A 16,199-nucleotide genomic window follows, 5' to 3' on the forward strand; every position below is an offset into this window, starting at 1 on the left:
GGGGGTGTGGGGGCAGATTGTGGGGATGAGCAGGGCTGCGGTGGGAGCAAGGGGGCCCGGAAGACGTGGGTCCATGTGGTCCCTAGCTCCCGGCCGGCTTCCCTCCCCGCATCTGCCTGTGGGCTCTGGTGCCCCTCGCTGGGGAGGTTTTACTGAAATGCAGCCTTATCCTTCACAAGTCTTTGCCATTCAACCCAGGGTTCAGGCCTCGAGGAGGCCACGTGGGGGTGCCAGGCTCCAGGGGACCCTCAGGGAACTGAGTGTGGCCACGTGGCCCCGAGAGTCTGCCCTCTCTCACGGCCGCAGGGCTCAGAGGACACTGGGCCTCCTTGCTGCCTTCCCGGCCGTGAGGGTCCAGGGACCAGGAGACGCCAGGGCCGTGAGGGTGTGGGAGAGACCACCCAGGGAGGGGGAGGCCCCCGACGAGTCCCCCCGCACAGCTGCTGCCTCTCTGCTGGGCTGGAGCGGAGCCCACCACCCCTCTGGGCTGAGGCTCGGGCTGAGGAGGGGTTTGTCCCTGGAGCCGGACGGGCCCCAGGAGACAGCAGAGAGCAGCCTGGCCAGGGGTTTCTGTGCTGGCGCCTGGGAGGGGACAGATCAGGGTCATCTCTGCGGTGACTAAACCCCGAGTTTGCTGTGAGCTCCTAAGCCCCAGCAGCCTCTGGCCAGTGTCACAACACCCCGAGGAAGTGACAGATGCCAGAAGAACCAGCGTTCAGGGAGTTAAAGTTCCATGTTGGAACGGGAACCACACAAGCCTTCTCCTCTTCCAAACTCAGGCCTCAGGACACGAATCCCCTTCAAGGTCATCTTTAAACGCGGCCTCCTGGCACGGCCGCCCCCAGGGCAGTGATGGCCCCCATGGATGTCCTGGGGTCGGCCGCGTTCAGACTCCCCGGCCGGCAGCCTTCCCGTCTGGACAGTTGCCCACGGCCGTGCCAGGAGGGCTCATGCCACCAGACCGCATGTTCCAGGCCTTTCTCCACCACGTGCTTTGCCTGTGCAAGGGCCTCTGATGCCTGAAGCTCTCGCAGGGCCTGTCCCCACACTGCCCGGACAGCCCCCGGGCCAGCACTGCCATGTCGACCCTTTCCCATGGGGCACGTTTGGCCTTGAGACGCTCCACAGGGCTTGGCCTCTGGTCTGCAGAGATCAGTTGCAGCCTCCCAGCTCTCTTGGACTCCCAGGAATGGGATGGACCTGCCGGCCATGGGCATCTCTGTTCCAGAACCTCAGGCAGCACCCAGCTTTGACCAGCTGGGCCCCAAGGCTGAGCGCAGGCCTCCAGCATCCGTGTCACCTGGGGAGCGGCCTGCCCCAGGGGGCACAGCGATACCTGGGACACGTGTTTCTCATGAGGAGCGTTGTTGGAGGACGGTAGAGTCCAGCGTGGCGAGGGGCAGGGGTGGAGTGCAGCGTGGCGAGGGGCAGGGGAGGGCCAGGGGTGACGTCCTGGTGTGGGGAGTCCTCCAGGGCTTCATGGTGCAGGTGCAGCAAGGACGTCCTCCAGGCTCGGCCAGTTGCACCGAGGACATTCTGCTTCGTGCAAGGGAAATCCGGCAGTGTCTCTGGCCAATGCTAGGCGGGGACCATTGTGACGTGGCCACAGAGCCACGGAGTGTGCCCGGCTCTCAAAGGAGCGGCCCTGACGGCCAGACTGATCACAGGCTACTCCATCCCACACTCGACACAGCTGGGAGGAAGCTGGGATCTCATGGGCGAGGGGCCATCTGGCAAGGTAGGTGTGAGCCTCGAGGGGCCGCGGGTCCAGGAGTCTCTGCTACAACCCCTGAGGCTTTCCCTTGGGTGCGGTGGCTAGGGCGGCTGCCCCATCCGAGGTGTGTCCTGACCACCTATGGCATCGCCCACGTGACGGGCCTGCCATCCATGAGCCTGTCTGTGCCCTCGGCAGCTTTCCCTGGGCTGCACCTGGTGGGTGATGCTGGACGGCAGGGACTACAGGGAGGGGTGAGAAGGCGCCAAGGAACCACGTGCTGGGTGAGGCGGCCCCAACCCGGGAGCTCCTCTTTCTCCATGCGTCTCCTTGGTCTCAGGTTTCAGCCCCTTGATTCCCATGGAGAGGCCGGGCCGTGCTCTCTCTTGAACCAGACGGAAAATCGCCAATTCTTGTGAGTCTGGTTCAGCTGGTGGATTTGTTTGAGGCTGAGTTCTCAGACCGGTGAGGGCGGCAGGTGCCGGAGGCCTGCGCTCAGCCGTGGGGCCCAGCTGGTCAAAGCTAGGCTCTGCCTGAGGTCCCTGGACCCACCTGGTCAAAGCTGTAGCATCCCCGGCAGCAGCGGCGGGCATCAGGGCTGCACCGCACCTGGCATGTTGAGAGGCGCCAGCCACGCGTGGTCTGGGTCCGGGGCGGGAGGCAGTGCCCGAGAGATGAAGCATCCAAGACCAAAACCGCGCAGCAGTTCTGGCTCCGGCTGTGGCTGCAGCGGTGGCCGAGCGGCTCCGGCACACAGGCTGGGAGGGACGGTGCCCGATACACCAGGCTCTGCAGTCCTCCTCCTCTCCCTGGGACCTGGTGGCCGGCGAGTGTGGACGGACCCCTACCTCTGCCCAGTGCCGGAGGAAGAGCGGCAGCCCCTGGCCACCTGCAGCCCCCAAGCCGAGCTGCCGAGATGGGAACTCCTCCCCAAGCAGAACACGTGCTGGGACCTGGGGACGCGCAGGGGACTGGCCTTGGTCACGAGGGCCTACGGGGCTGCCAGCCACGTTTCTCACCTGACACTTACCGCCTGGAGGCCAGGGTGCGGCACCCCGACCTTTCTGAGATGAGGCAGCGCCGCCCCTCCCGGACCCCACCCTGATCCCGGCCGGGGCAACAGTGGCGCAGACTCACCCATGAGCCCACTGAGGAAGACGCCGTAGAGGGACAGCCCGGTGGTGGCCGCGTTCCACACGGTACCCACGACGGCGTACAACAGGATGGTCCCCAGGTTGCCGAAGAAGAGGCGGTTGGGCATGAAGTAGCCGGCGTCCAGCACGATGGGGGGCAGCAGGTAGAAGAAGAAGACGGTGGGCGTCAGTGTGAAGGACGCGATGTGGTCGGCCGCCCAGACGATGCCGCCCAGCACCAGGCCCAGCACGATGAGCAGGGCGCTCTCGGGAACCACGCTGGTGACCTTGTGGGACAGGTGGAACCCTGTGGGGGAAGGGAGGGAGGTCAGGGCCGGGCTGTGAGGGAGGGGAGGGAGGTCAGGGCCGGGCTGTGAGGGAGGGGAGGGAGGTGTGGGGACTCGTGGGGGAGGGGAGGGATGTCGGGGCAGGGCCTGTTGGGGAGGGAGGTCAGCGGGGACTCGTGGAGGAAGGGAGGAAGGTGTGGGGACTCACAGGGGAGGGGAGGGAGGTCGGGGTGGGACCCGTGCGGCAGAGGAGGGAGGTCAGGGTGGGGCCTTGGGAGAGGGCAGGTAGGTGGGGGGAGCCCATGGGGGAGGGGAGGGAGGTAGGGGGGAACCCACAGGGGAGGGGAGGGAGGTCGGGGTGGGACCTGCGGGGGAGGGGAGGGAGGTCAGGGCAGAGCCCTCGGGGGAGGGGAGGGAGGTCCAGGTGATCAGGTCCCACAGGGCTCAGAGCTGCAGGCATCTAAGACCTCCCCCGACTTTTCAGGGAGCCCAAGAGGGCTGGGAACGAGGAGAGTGCAGGGGCAGCTGCTGGAGCCCCCAGAAGGGAGTCAGTTGGAGGAGGGAGCCGGTGCTATGGGGTGGAGGCCCGTGCTGGATGGACGGTGGTCGGGGGGGGGCCTCTGACCTGCCGCCCCACCGCCCGGCTGGTTCTGGTCCCCCGGACCCCCAACTCGCTCTGTGCCTTTTGCCTTGGTGACCAAGGTCTGAGCTCACCCTGTCCCTGACGTTGTGGCCAGAGCCTGCTCCCACTTGAGGCTGGCTGTGTTTCAGACCCCTCCGGAGGGGCCCCATGGAGGCTGTGGCCCCCTCTCCTCGTGCCCCTCTCCTGGGATCACGGCCCCTGGGTGGGGTGTTCTAGGAAGAGTCTCTGGGTCCCGCCACTCCACTCCGCACGGGTGAGCTTAAGGGTGGACAGCAGGTCCTGGGGACCCCCCGTGGAGCTTCACCCCGTCCCCCAGCACCATCGCCCCTGCCAGGACCTCAGAGGCTCTGCCCGGCCCTGTGGGTGGGGGTGCAGGCACCAACCTATCTGGGCCATGTCTCCTGTGTTTTAGTTGGACTCAGAAAAAAAAAAAAAGGTGATGAGAATTCCTGCGCTCGGCCTGATTTCAAAATAGCGGGAAGCCTGACAAATGAGGTGCGTCCTCCGGCTTCGGTGATGTAAGGGATAATGAGCTTCTTCATTCCCTCAGCTGCTGGTTATTAAGTCTTCTTTGAAATTCAAAGGAAAGTTGTCTCCTGAGATGGCCAAGACCCCATTTAAGCACAGAGCAGCGGGAGCGGGGAGGCTCCCTCCACACCACCCGCCCCCGAAGAATGTGTCAGCACAGCTGGAGGGGCGGTGGAGGCAGTGGCCACGTCCCACCCTTCCCGACTGCGTGGCCCTGACGAGCTCGGCCCTCCCTGCCTGTTTTCTCCCTTGTAATTACGGAGCTCTTGCAGGGCCGGGTGCTGGCCCAGAGGAGGGAGGTGCTGTTCTGGATTTGCCGTTCCTTCCCCGAGGATGGTCTTACACCAAATACCACGGGTGGCATGGGCCCCTCTAGGGAGGGTGGCAGGCACAAGCTCCGCACCTGCCCGGCCACCAGCACTGCACTGCGGTCTCCCGACCCTGTCCCCAGGACAGCGGCTCTGCCTGCTGCTCCAGATTCCAAAACACCAGCCCCGGGAGGGATCGGGGTTCAGAGGCTCCTGCTTTCAGGATGGGAGGTCCTGCTGTGGGCCCCGTCCCCACCATGTGCCCCACAGGCTCTCTGAGCCCCCCGACGGCTCCCCCACTCCGGGCTGCACATCCTGCACAGATCTGAGCTCCACACCTGTCAGGCAGGGCAGCGGGGGTTGGCCCGGGGAGGCTGGAACCACGCGACAGTGATAACCAAACCAGGGGAGGGCATGGCCTGCAATGAGGGAGGGCCTGGCCTGGAATGAGGGAGGGAGGCTGTCCCTGGGGAACACGGAGGGTGAGCTCCCTGGAGTCCTCGGGGCCCCGCTCAGAGCTGGCCTGCAGGGTCCCGTCTGCTCCAGCTTTCAGCAGGAGAGCATCCGTAGGGTTGACCTTGCTCTCTCCCCACAGCTCTCCCTTCTCTAGAAGGTGCTCCCCAGCTGGGAGTGGCTGTGATGCACGTGAGAAGTCCTGGGACCCTAACGCGTGCCCCGACAGCCCCGTCCTCAGCAGCGCCCTCCCCAGATCTGGGCTCACGGGGCTGGCAGCCCAGCAGGAAAACAGGGGCCCCTCTTCTCTGGGCTCCACGGCCTGGTCCCTGTGGTGGCCAGGGACAGACCTGGCCTCGCAGAGCTTTGGGAAGAGACATGGGTGGCCTTCCGGGCCTGCGAGGGGAAGGCTGTGGCCTCTGCTCAGGGCAGCCTGGGACCCCCTCCACAGCCGGGACTCAGCAGGTTCTAGGCTGGCATGGGAGTCTGCACACTAAGGGCTCCGAGGCCTTTGGGAGTCCTGCTGGGGGTCCCTATGGTGCAGGAAGGCCTGGGGCAGGTGTTCCCACCTCTGCAGCCTCCTGATTTTTTTAATAATGTCCAGAGAGAAGTGGAGTTTACCACTTCCTTCCTTTCTTCCTGAGGGCTGTAAATCCCCGCCTTGGTGTCCCAAGCTGTGTTAGGAAGACCAGGGTGGTCTGTGCCCGGTGCCGGCGCCTGCCCACCCGCAGGCTGACCCGCGCCTCTCACATCTGTCCTTGGCGACGTCGTCACCTCTGCTGCTGGCGACGAGTGCCTAGCAAAGCCGGGCACAGCCGTGGTGATGGTGACCCCCTGGAGGCTGCCCAGCCGCTGGCAAGACCCACCCAGGCCGCTGTTTTCTACACGATGCACGTTCTTTGCCTCTGCCCACGTCCCAGGCTGGCTCCTGGAGGGGTAATCGGCTCACCTGTCCTCCTCTTTTCAGGGTCACAAGACCTGGGAGATGGTATTTGTCCAATAGCGCTTGTGGAGCAGCCAGCGGGGCACGTGTGGCCCCTCGGTGCCCGCCGGCACGTGGGCTGCTTTGAGGATAAAATCCAGCGACCACAGAGACCGCGTGTCCCCAGGTGGGGGGGCGCCGTGGCCGCAGGTCAGACCTGGGAAGCAGCGGGAGTCTCGGAGCTCCTGGACGCCCTCACCCTTGGTGGCTGCCGACACTTGGCCCGGGGTCTTTTTGTTGAGGGTTAGGGTCTTTCAGCCACAGTCTTCCAAAATTAGGTTCACAGCGATCACCACCGTTGTGAAGCCACCCCAGACAACCGCGGGCCAGCAAGTCAGGGACACAGGGACACAGGGACCAGCTTTGTCTTTAAAAACAACAACGCAACTCTGTGCCCTGGGGACTCACAGTGCTCCCCGCGCCATCGCCGACCCTCCCCACGCTCCACTCCCCGCGCCATCGCCGACCCTCCCCACGCTCCACTCCCCGCGCCATCGCCGACCCTCCCCACGCTCCACTCCCCGCGCCATCGCCGACCCTCCCCACGCTCCACTCCCCGCGCCATCGCCGACCCTCCCCACGCTCCACTCCCCGCGCCATCGCCGACCCTCCCCACGCTCCACTCCCCGCGCCATCGCCGACCCTCCCCACGCTCCACTCCCCGCGCCATCGCCGACCCTCCCCACGCTCCACTCCCCGCGCCATCGCCGACCCTCCCCACGCTCCACTCCCCGCGCCATCGCCGACCCTCCCCACGCTCCACTCCCCGCGCCATCGCCGACCCTCCCCACGCTCCACTCCCCGCGCCATCGCCGACCCTCCCCACGCTCCACTCCCCGCGCCATCGCCGACCCTCCCCACGCTCCACTCCCCGCGCCATCGCCGACCCTCCCCACGCTCCACTCCCCGCGCCATCGCCGACCCTCCCCACGCTCCACTCCCCGCGCCATCGCCGACCCTCCCCACGCTCCACTCCCCGCGCCATCGCCGACCCTCCCCACGCTCCAGTGAGGCCGCTGGTTACTGTAAAAGCCTGTTAACTGGGACACTGGTGGGTGAGGGACAGGCTGGCTTCAGACCAAACACTCCTGCTCAGAAGTAAGCCCTTAAAATCCACAGAAAACATCCTCTGACCTTGGTAGTTACTGAGAAAATATACATATATACGCACAAACGCCGCATAGGTGGGAGGGCGGCGGTTTGGAACATTCTGCCATCCGGGGTTGGAAAGGGTGTTGGACACGCCTTTCCCATGTGCGGTGGCGTCCGAGGGCAGCTCCTGCAGTCTTCAGGGTGTGTGTGTGTTGAGAGCTCACCTGTGTCCTCCTGCATGGGACATGCCGTCCCACCTGCCCACGGGGGAGGAGCCGCACCCATCCCCACCGGCCAGGCAGGCGTGAGCCACATCTCCTGAGGGGCCCAACCTAACAGCCTCTGACGACCTGTGGGTGACGCGTGAACGACCCCGTTCTGTGAAAGTGTCGGCTTGCTCCCCTGCCGGGCACTGATCCTTTCCTATTGACACGAGGTTCTTCGTAAGCTGGAAAATCCAGCCTTTGCTTATGTCTTCAGCGGCAGGTAGATTTTCACTTTCAAAAATGTTGCTCTCATCTTTCCACTTTGTCTTCTGTCATTTTGCTCCATGCGAACGTCTTTTCTTTTTATAGTTAAATTTATTGGTCTTTTGTTTTATGGCTTCTGAGTTTTGTGTTATACTTAACAAAGCCATTCCTGCTCATGTTTCCTGCTAAATTTTTTAGCAGGAAAAATAAAGGCACTCAATTAAATTTTCCTTGAAGGCTGGACTTAGTGGTTCACACCTGTAATCCCAATACAACAGTTTGGGAGGCCAAGGCAGGTGGATCCCTTGAGCCCAGGAGTTCGAGACCAGCCTGGGCAACATGGCGAAACCCCATCTTTACAAAAAAAAATACAAAAACTCTGCTGGGCATGGTGGCACACAACTGTAGTCCCAGCTACTCAGGAGGCCGAGGTGGGAGGATCACCTGAGCCTGGGAGGTTGAGGCTGCAGTGAGCCAAGATCACACCACTACATTCCAGCCTGGGCGACGGAGGCCTTGTCTCAAAAAAAAAATTTTTTTTTTACTTGAATTTAACAGAGAAAATAGTTAAAAATAGTTGCAACTCAGAAGGCCCTGCTAGCCTCAGAGAGACAGTCTTTCCACACAGATGTCTGTTCTTGAAATCCCCGAGCCTGGAAGTGGATCTGGGTGGCACTGGTGGGTGCTCCCGGTGCCCAGGCCGCTGCCCCGCAGGTGCCCCTCAAGTCACACCACTGCTCTGCCTCGGGCGACACGGTGCACTGGCCGAATTCCCTCCAGGTGCAGGAGTCGACGCCCCCCACTGCCCTCGAAACCTGGTTTCTCTGCTCCCGGGTCTCAAATCCGGGTTCTTCCCTTGACAGCTGGCGTCCACCCTCGAGCATTTGCGAATGTCAGGCTGACACCTGTGTCTGAGCCTGTCTGGGCACCGGGACTGCTGTGAAGGACACAGTCAGCCGGACTTTGCTTAGTTCACCTGTCGGAGCCACTCGTTCACGTTTATCTCTGTCTGGTTGTCAGAATAAATTGTTTCCAACCAGGAAACAAGGATATCTCTTAACACAATTGTTCTATTCTTTGGTTATTCCTCCACTTCAAAGAAGCTTCCTGAAGCTTCCAGATCCCCTGCAGCCCCCCTGAGCCGCTGACCCTGACCCCTGGGAGTGAAGCCTCATCTGCCCCTGTCCTGGGTGGGGTCGCCCGGCCGCATCCCCAGCCTCTGCCCCTGTCCCGGGTGGGGTCGCCCGGCCGCATCCCCAGCCTCTGCCCCTGTCCCGGGTGGGGTCGCCCGGCCGCATCCCCAGCCTCTGCCCCTGTCCCGGGTGGGGTCGCCCGGCCGCATCCCCAGCCTCTGCCCCTGTCCCGGGTGGGGTCGCCCGGCCGCATCCCCAGCCTCTGCCCTCCGACAACTCAGGCACCTGCTGGTCAGCTATGAAGCCTTAGCCTCGCTTGTGGGAGTCCCTGCCTCACGGATGCCGGCCTCCTGCCTCGGCCACCGCCCTCCTCTTCAAGGATGCTGTTTTGCCTCTGGTCGCTCTATCTTATCTTTTTTCTCCGCACTCCTGGACGTCTCTCGGACCTTTCGCTCTGACAGTGGCTTGAGCCTCGGCCGCCACTTCCGCCCCTGCTACTTCGGGGCCACGTCTCGGTCCGACGCTGAGGGGTGCTGCCAACCGTGTCTTCTCTGTGAACGTCCTCACGATGAACGCCCCCGTTCCACTTCCCACCCTGGAGCTGCTGCTTCCGTGACTCACATTCCGGCCATTTCCGTGGTGTGAGGTACGGGCGGGACTCCTTCTGCTTCTTGTCACACTTGTCCCGGGCTGGGCTCTTCCCCGCCAGCCCCACTTCCTGCCTTCCAGCATCAGTCCAGCCACTGAGCCCTTTTCTTTTGAGACATCATCTCGTTCTGTCACCTGGACTGGAGTGCAGCGGCACCACCTCGGCTCACTGCAACCTCCGCCTCCTGGGTTCAAGCGATTCTCCTGCCTCAGCCTCTGAGTAGCTGGGATTACAGGCGTGCGCCACCATGCCCAGCAAATTTTTGTATTTTTTGTAGAGATGGAGTTTCACCATGCTGGCCAGGCTGGTCTTAAACTCCTGGGGTCAAGCGACACGCCCACCTCGGTCGTCCACAGTGCTGGGATCACAGGCGTGAGCCACCGTGCCTGGCCAACCGTGTCTTCTCCCCTTGCTTGTGCCCGCCGTGGAAGGTTCTGTGGACATTCTCTGCACAACCCCGCTTTGGGAAGAGTGCCCCTGCTGGCCTCGGCTGCCTCTCCTGGGGTGTGTCTCCCTGCTGAGCTGGCTTTGGGTGGGACACTGCTTTCTACCCATTCTCCTGTGGCAGAGGAGTCCTGCAGCGTCTCCTCTGGTATCGGATGGCAGTTTCGCCCCAGCCAGGGTGGGGGGTCTCCTGGGCTTCTGCTTCTTCCTCCTGAGGAGGTGCCAAGGCCAGGCCTCTCCTTGGTGACCCTGCATCTCCCTGGTTTGGGACACTGGACTGGGGACCAAGAGAGGGGAAGGGTCTCGTTCTCATCTTCTCCTGAAACCAGGGGCTCTGCGGTTGATGGAAGTCCTCAGAGGGCGTCCTCAGCCTGGGGCTGGTCTGCTCCACACGGCTTTTCCCAAGGACCCATGGCCTCCTCTTGAACGGCAGTCTGCATTGTAATTAGCTGGTGAAACCAAGAACTCAATTGGTTTTAAGAGGCAATTTGCTAGTAGTTTGGCAATTAAGCACACAATGGACGTTTGGGAGCCAAGTCCCTGTGCTGTGAGCCCTGCAGGGTCCAGTTCCTGCTGCCAGTCGGTATTGAGTGCCAGGGACTGGCCTGGCATGAGGGCCTGACCCGGGCAGTGCTGTCCACATGCACACAGCCGGGGCCACCCCGCTTTCTGGGGGCATCTGCCGGCACCAACCAGGCCTGGGCCTGTGGTTAGGGCCTGTTCCACAGACTCATTCCAGGCAAGGCGCTTACTTACTGCCACAATCTGCACGTTTTTAGGATGGGATGACGACACTTGGGTTCCAGGGTCCCTGTGTGGAAACGTCCCCACATGCTGGGCCGTCCTTCCTTCCTGTGCCCTCTGTCCGCCATCTCCAGACACCGCCCAGTGCCTGATGCCGTCTGCAGCTCCCTCTGGTCTGACAACCAGTCACTCCTGCTCCCTGGGGACACGTGGGCCCTCGAGGCTCTAGAACGGGAGGGAGGTGGCTGGCAGGGCCCGAGATAATGCCAAGGTGGCTCCTAGAGACCTTGCATCTGCGCATAACGTCTCCGTAGATCAGCAGAAGGCCCAGCCACTCCCAGTCCAGGGTCCAGCCCCTCTGTAGGGGCCACTGCTCAAGCCAGCATGGCTACAGAGATACCATGGGAGTGTGGAGGGGCCACTGCACCTCAAAGAAGAAGGAACCCACAGCCCTGGGCCCCGTCGGAGCCACCACAGGCGCAGGGCACAGCCTCCTCGGCCCAGAGCTGTTGGGCAGGAGCTGCAGGGTGGCTGGGACGCAACAGGCAGCGACATCTTCAACCTTCTACCAGAAGAGCCTCAGGTCCACCGCACTGACTGCGGCAACCCCGGCCCTGTGGGTTGAAAGGGCAGAGGGTGTCTGAGGCCTTAAGGAAATGAAGAGAATAGAACTCGCCCCATGGCACACACTGTGAGGGAACCAGGCGGTGTGGGACCCTCCCGAGACGCACTATGCAGAGCCTGGGCTCAGCCACACAACTGCAGAAGCCAAACCACGAGAAGCTCCACAGACGGAACCGGCTTCCGGCACCACTGGGACACGCCACGAGGCTCCCCCAGCTAGGTGCACACACGGCATGCGACTGGCGTGGATCCCTGGCGAGAATGGAAGGGGGGGTGGCAGGAGACGGGGACGGGACCCTCCAGGGACACAGGAAACACACACCAAGCACGGAGAGGCCAGGCGGGCCGGTGTGGACAGGGGGCCGGTGTGGACACGGGGCCAGTGTAGATGGGGCCAGTGTGGACGGGGCTGGTGTGGGAGGGGCTGGTGTGGATGGGTCAGTGTGGACACAGGGCCGGTGTGGACATGGGGTCAGTGTGGAAGGGGCCGGTGTGGATGGGGCAGGCGTGGATGGGGCTGGTGTGGACATGGGGCTAGTATGGATGGGGCTGGTGTGGATGGGGCCGTGTGGATGGGGCCAGTGTGGATGGGGCTGGTGGGTGTGGACGGGGCTGGTGTGGACGGGGTCAGTGTGGACACAGGGCCAGTGTGGACATGGGGTCAGTGTGGAAGGGGCTGGTGTGGATGGGGCAGGCGTGGATGGGGCTGGTGGGTGTGGACGGGGCTGGTGTGGATGGGGCCAGTGTGGACACAGAGTCAGTGTGGACATGGGGTCGGTGTGGACGAGGCTGGTGTGGACACGGGCCGGTGTGGACAGGGCCAGGCCCTGAGTCCGCCTGCCACAGCCCGTGTGGCTTCCACACAAGGGGACAAACCTGGGGACACGCAGGCCCTCAGGTAACTGATTGCCGAGGCTGGAGAGTCACAGCTAATTAAGCACACAATGGCTTGGTGGCCTGATGGTTACGACAGGGGACAGACGCTTTTAGTTCTAATTACAAACCCTGTGCCTGGAGGAGGAAGGGCCGGCGCTGGCAAACCAGACATTTCCGGATGGGCGCCGGAAAGGGCTTCTCTCTGGGCCCCGGGGGGCTCAGGAAGGCCACGGCCCAATGCATGTCACACCCCTCGGAGCACAGAGGGACGGGGCTTGGTCAGGCCCAGGGCCTCCGCCACCTCCAAGGACCTTTCAAGGTGGCAGAGATTCAGCCGAGTCCACAAAAATGCAACAGCGCAGTCAATCCTGTGGTTTTACTTTAACAGGAACACGTCCCGGAGGATTAAACTCTGCCTCCCAGAAACAGCCTGGCTGAGCGGTGGGGCGGTGAGGCCAGGAAGGAGGGCGGAAGCACAGGTACCCACCCTCCCGGGGGACGAGGGGCCGGGGCATTCCACAGGCAGGCGCAGACACATGCAGGAACACGTGCACGCACACAGAGACTCGCAGAGACGCAGAGACGTGCAGAGACACACAGAGGAGACACGCACAGGGTCCACCCTGTTCTCCTAGCACAGCTGTGGGTCTGAGTTCTCTGCCACCCGCCCCTGCAGGTCCAGCAGAGCTCGCCAGCACACTCTGACCTCAGTATCACTTTACCCGCCTGTGGGGCACCGGCGAGGAATCACGGTAAATGTGTCGGCCGTCAAGCCCAGGGCGGAGGTAAAGGTGCTCACGGAGGTCCGCCGTGCGGCCTGGCAGACGTGCCTGCGTGACCCCACGCGTCCCTGCCTGCGGGTGCAGTTCCCCGTGAGTACTCAGGTTGGCGTGGGACAGGGGAGCCGGCTCCCGGGGGCCACGCAGGAAGCCCCTCTCCGAGCGAGGCCGGGCCCCCGGGCCGGGAAGCTGCTTCCTGCCAGATGAAGTTCACACAGCTCCAAGAACAACAGCCCGTTCAGGACTGGACTCCCTGCGCTCAAGTCACAAGGCGTTTTACACATTGTACATTTACAACACTCGAGCAAACCTGGTCGGTTTTTAAATTGAAACATGAATGTTGCCCACGGTTCCCTAGAGAATCAGGAGATCCTTCGACTCCAAACCACCCTGAGCAACCGCGCTGGGGCAAAATGAACGCAGCCTCTGAGCCAGCCACGGCCTCTGTCCAGGACGCTGGGCAGACCCCACACCCCTTCCTCTCTGGGACCCAGCCGCTCCGGCCCCCCACCCCCAGAGACGGCCCAGGCCCCCTTATTAGCAGCGTGAGAACAGACAGACACAGGCAGGTCCCAAGCTGCCCACAGCAGAGGAAAGACCTGGATGCAGATCCCAGCTGCCACCACCTCAGGGCTTTGCTCAAAGCAGCAACAAGCTTCAGCTACCGCAGACCCAGCGGCGCCTACCAGGGGCCGCAGCGGAGCACAGTCCCCGGCAAGACACCGGTCGCAACGTCCTGGGGCAACGGAAGTCACGAGACACGTGAAGTGGGAATGTGGCCCAGCTCAAATCAGAGGAGAACGCAAGATGGTCAGACCCTGGAATCAGCAGACAAGGGCCTAAAACAGCAGCTCAAGGATAGAAAAGAAACGTTCTCATAACCACTTAAAAAGGACAAGCCGCAGCGGTGGAGTGGAACAGGGCTTGGCACATTTTTTCTTAAAGGCAGATTGTGAGTATTTTAGGTCCTGCAAGCTGCCAACAGGAGGATCACTTCATAACCACTCACTACCAGTGAGGCCGAAAGCCGCTGTAACGACACAGACGGGCGCCGAAAGCCGCCGTAATGACACAGATGGGCGCTGTGTTCCAGTGAAACTTTACCACTCACTACCAGTGAGGCCGAAAGCCGCCGTAACGACACAGATGGGCGCTGTGTTCCAGTGAAACTTTACCACTCACTACCACTGAGGCCGAAAGCCGCTGTAACGACACAGATGGGCGTTCCAGTGAAACTTTATTTACAACAACCAGTGGCCGGCCCACGGGCTGTAGTTTGCTGATGCCTAAAATAGAACTTATCAAAGAGAACCAAGCAGAAACCCTAGAATCTCTGACATAAAAACTCAATGGATAGACTTACGAGCAGACAGAAATGACAGTAAAGAGAGTGAACTGGAAGACAGATCAGAAGAAATCATCCCATCGGAAGACCAAGGAGAAAAAATGGTTTTTAAAGTAACCAGAGCCTCAGTGGCCTGTGGGGCAAAATCAATAGCTTGTAGCCGCAGCACTTTGGGAGGCCAAGGCAGGAGGATCGCTTGAACCCAGGAGTTCAAGACCAGCCTGGGCAACACAGCAAAACCCCTTCTCGACAAAATAAATTAAAACATTAGCTGAGCCTGGTGGTTTGTGCCCATAGTCCCAGCTACTCAGGGGGCTGAGGCCAGAGGGTCCATTGAGCCTGGGCGGGTTGAGGCTGCACCCCAGTCTGGGTGACAGTGAGCGAGGCCCCCATCCTTGCCCAGAAAAAGGCCTGATATATGTGTAGCTGGAGCTCTGGAAGGAAGGGAGAATGGGGCGGGGAAACCTTGAAGAGCGAATGGTAAAAAATGTCCCCAGTTTGGTGAAAGACACACATTTATAGATTTGAGAAATTTTGCAAGCTCCAAGCAATGCAAGTACAGGGAAAATCCTGCCTGTGGGCACGGCACAGTCAGACTGCTGAAAATCAAAAACAAATGGAGAATCTTTCCATCTGTATAATGTGTGTGAGTTACCAATAAAGAACTTTCTTCTTGTTCCATGAAATGGGCAAGGAAGGCGTGTCTGCTGGAAATCTCATCCACGGCTGTGGTTTCTCCTGAATCGGCGAATCGTCTGCGCGAGGCTGGGGCCTCTGGACAGAAGACTGGGCCCCCAGAGCTCTTGGGGGGTTCCCATCTTCACCCGGTGCCTGGATTCTCAGGGTCCCACCCACCCCCACCTTCCTCACACTTCACCCTCTCTTCTCTCTTGCCCTTATAAAATCATTCACTTCAAAGTAGAAATTATGAAACCGTCTTCATCAATCACGGAAGTTTAGCATTCCCCGTGTTTTTGCCTTTGGTTTATCAACAACTAAACAAGGGAAGGGAACAAGCTTCTGCAGAAGCTTCCAGCAAGGAGACAGCGTCCTATATGAGGCGCCTGGGGAGGGAAGGTGCCGGAAGGCATCGCTGTGGGGCTGCCGCCAGCTCCGGAACCCCCGGGAACCCAAGGGGCACACGTCTCCCCGTGTTCTTGCAGCCCCCGCGTCCCGTGACCCACCCAGGAGGTGTGACCTGCCCTCCTTGCTTCAGGCTCCCCTCTGTAAAGTGAGGAAATAGCCCCCCGGGGCTGCAGCCAGGGCCCAGGGCGGTGGACATGCAGGGTCCAGGACTGGCTGAACCTTGAGCCGCTGCAGGGGCCGTTGGATTTGGCCCTCGGGAGAGAACTCCACAGCCTCCTCCAGTGTGTCCGGCGGCGGCAGCCAGGGAGGGTGCCGGGACCTTCAGACCACACAGCAAGCGGCCAGATCTCAGGCTCCCCGGGCTCACGGCCCCGCTGCCTCCTCCTGTCACCCCCGGGTGAGCCCAGAGGGCTCGGGGTGGGGACAGCAGACAAACCCTCAGCTGCTGGGCAGTGCCTCCCTCTGGGGCCATGGGCACCGGGACCTGCACCCCTCAGCGCTGTGAGGCCACTGTCTCTAAACGTGGGGGCTGAAGGGGAAGGGGTGTTCGTGCCCAGCTCCTGGCCGGCCACCGACATGGCCCCTTCATGGGGGCCGGGCCAGAGGCTCAGAAGGGGAGGGCAGGGGTGCGGCTGGTTGAGTGGCATACAGCGGGGGCTCACACCTCGGCTAGCAAAGTGGCTCCCAGACCCGGACGCCTGTGCCTGGAAGAGCAGCAGACGCCTGCAGGGCACAGTGGCCACGTGGGCGCCACACAGAGCCCAGTGCTGAGAAGCAGGGGCCAGCAGCTGCCACCCCTCCCCTGCTTTCCCTGTGCAAATGGGAAAAGGCCTCAGAACAGCGTGGACGCAGTGACCCCTTTAACAGAATGAGGGGATGGAATCCCGGGTGGCTGGAGACCTGGACAAA

The 16,199-nt window shown here is 62.0% G+C and overlaps 1 protein-coding gene across 2 annotated transcripts in view, besides 1 other annotated feature; it reads right to left on the minus strand.

Annotated features, from left to right (window-relative positions):
- The window catches only part of SLC9A3 (solute carrier family 9 member A3), a 53,994-nt gene that overhangs the window by 18,462 nt on the left and 19,333 nt on the right, over positions 1-16,199 (minus strand). For both annotated transcript variants that reach the window (NM_001284351.3, NM_004174.4), the window contains exon 2: positions 2,852-3,154. In NM_001284351.3, the coding sequence (NP_001271280.1) occupies positions 2,852-3,154 (303 nt within the window). The remainder of the gene's footprint in view (positions 1-2,851; positions 3,155-16,199) is intronic.
- Positions 7,025-7,548: an enhancer, noted in NCBI's record as "H3K27ac-H3K4me1 hESC enhancer chr5:496057-496580 (GRCh37/hg19 assembly coordinates)". NCBI's record gives its function as "activates a minimal SCP1, AML or CMV promoter by ChIP-STARR-seq in naive H9 embryonic stem cells {active_cell/tissue: H9 hESC(naive)}" and the evidence as "EXISTENCE:reporter gene assay evidence [ECO:0000049][PMID:30033119]".

Source organism: Homo sapiens, chromosome 5, assembly GCF_000001405.40.
Source record: "Homo sapiens chromosome 5, GRCh38.p14 Primary Assembly".
NCBI classification, from domain to species: domain Eukaryota; kingdom Metazoa; phylum Chordata; class Mammalia; order Primates; family Hominidae; genus Homo; species Homo sapiens.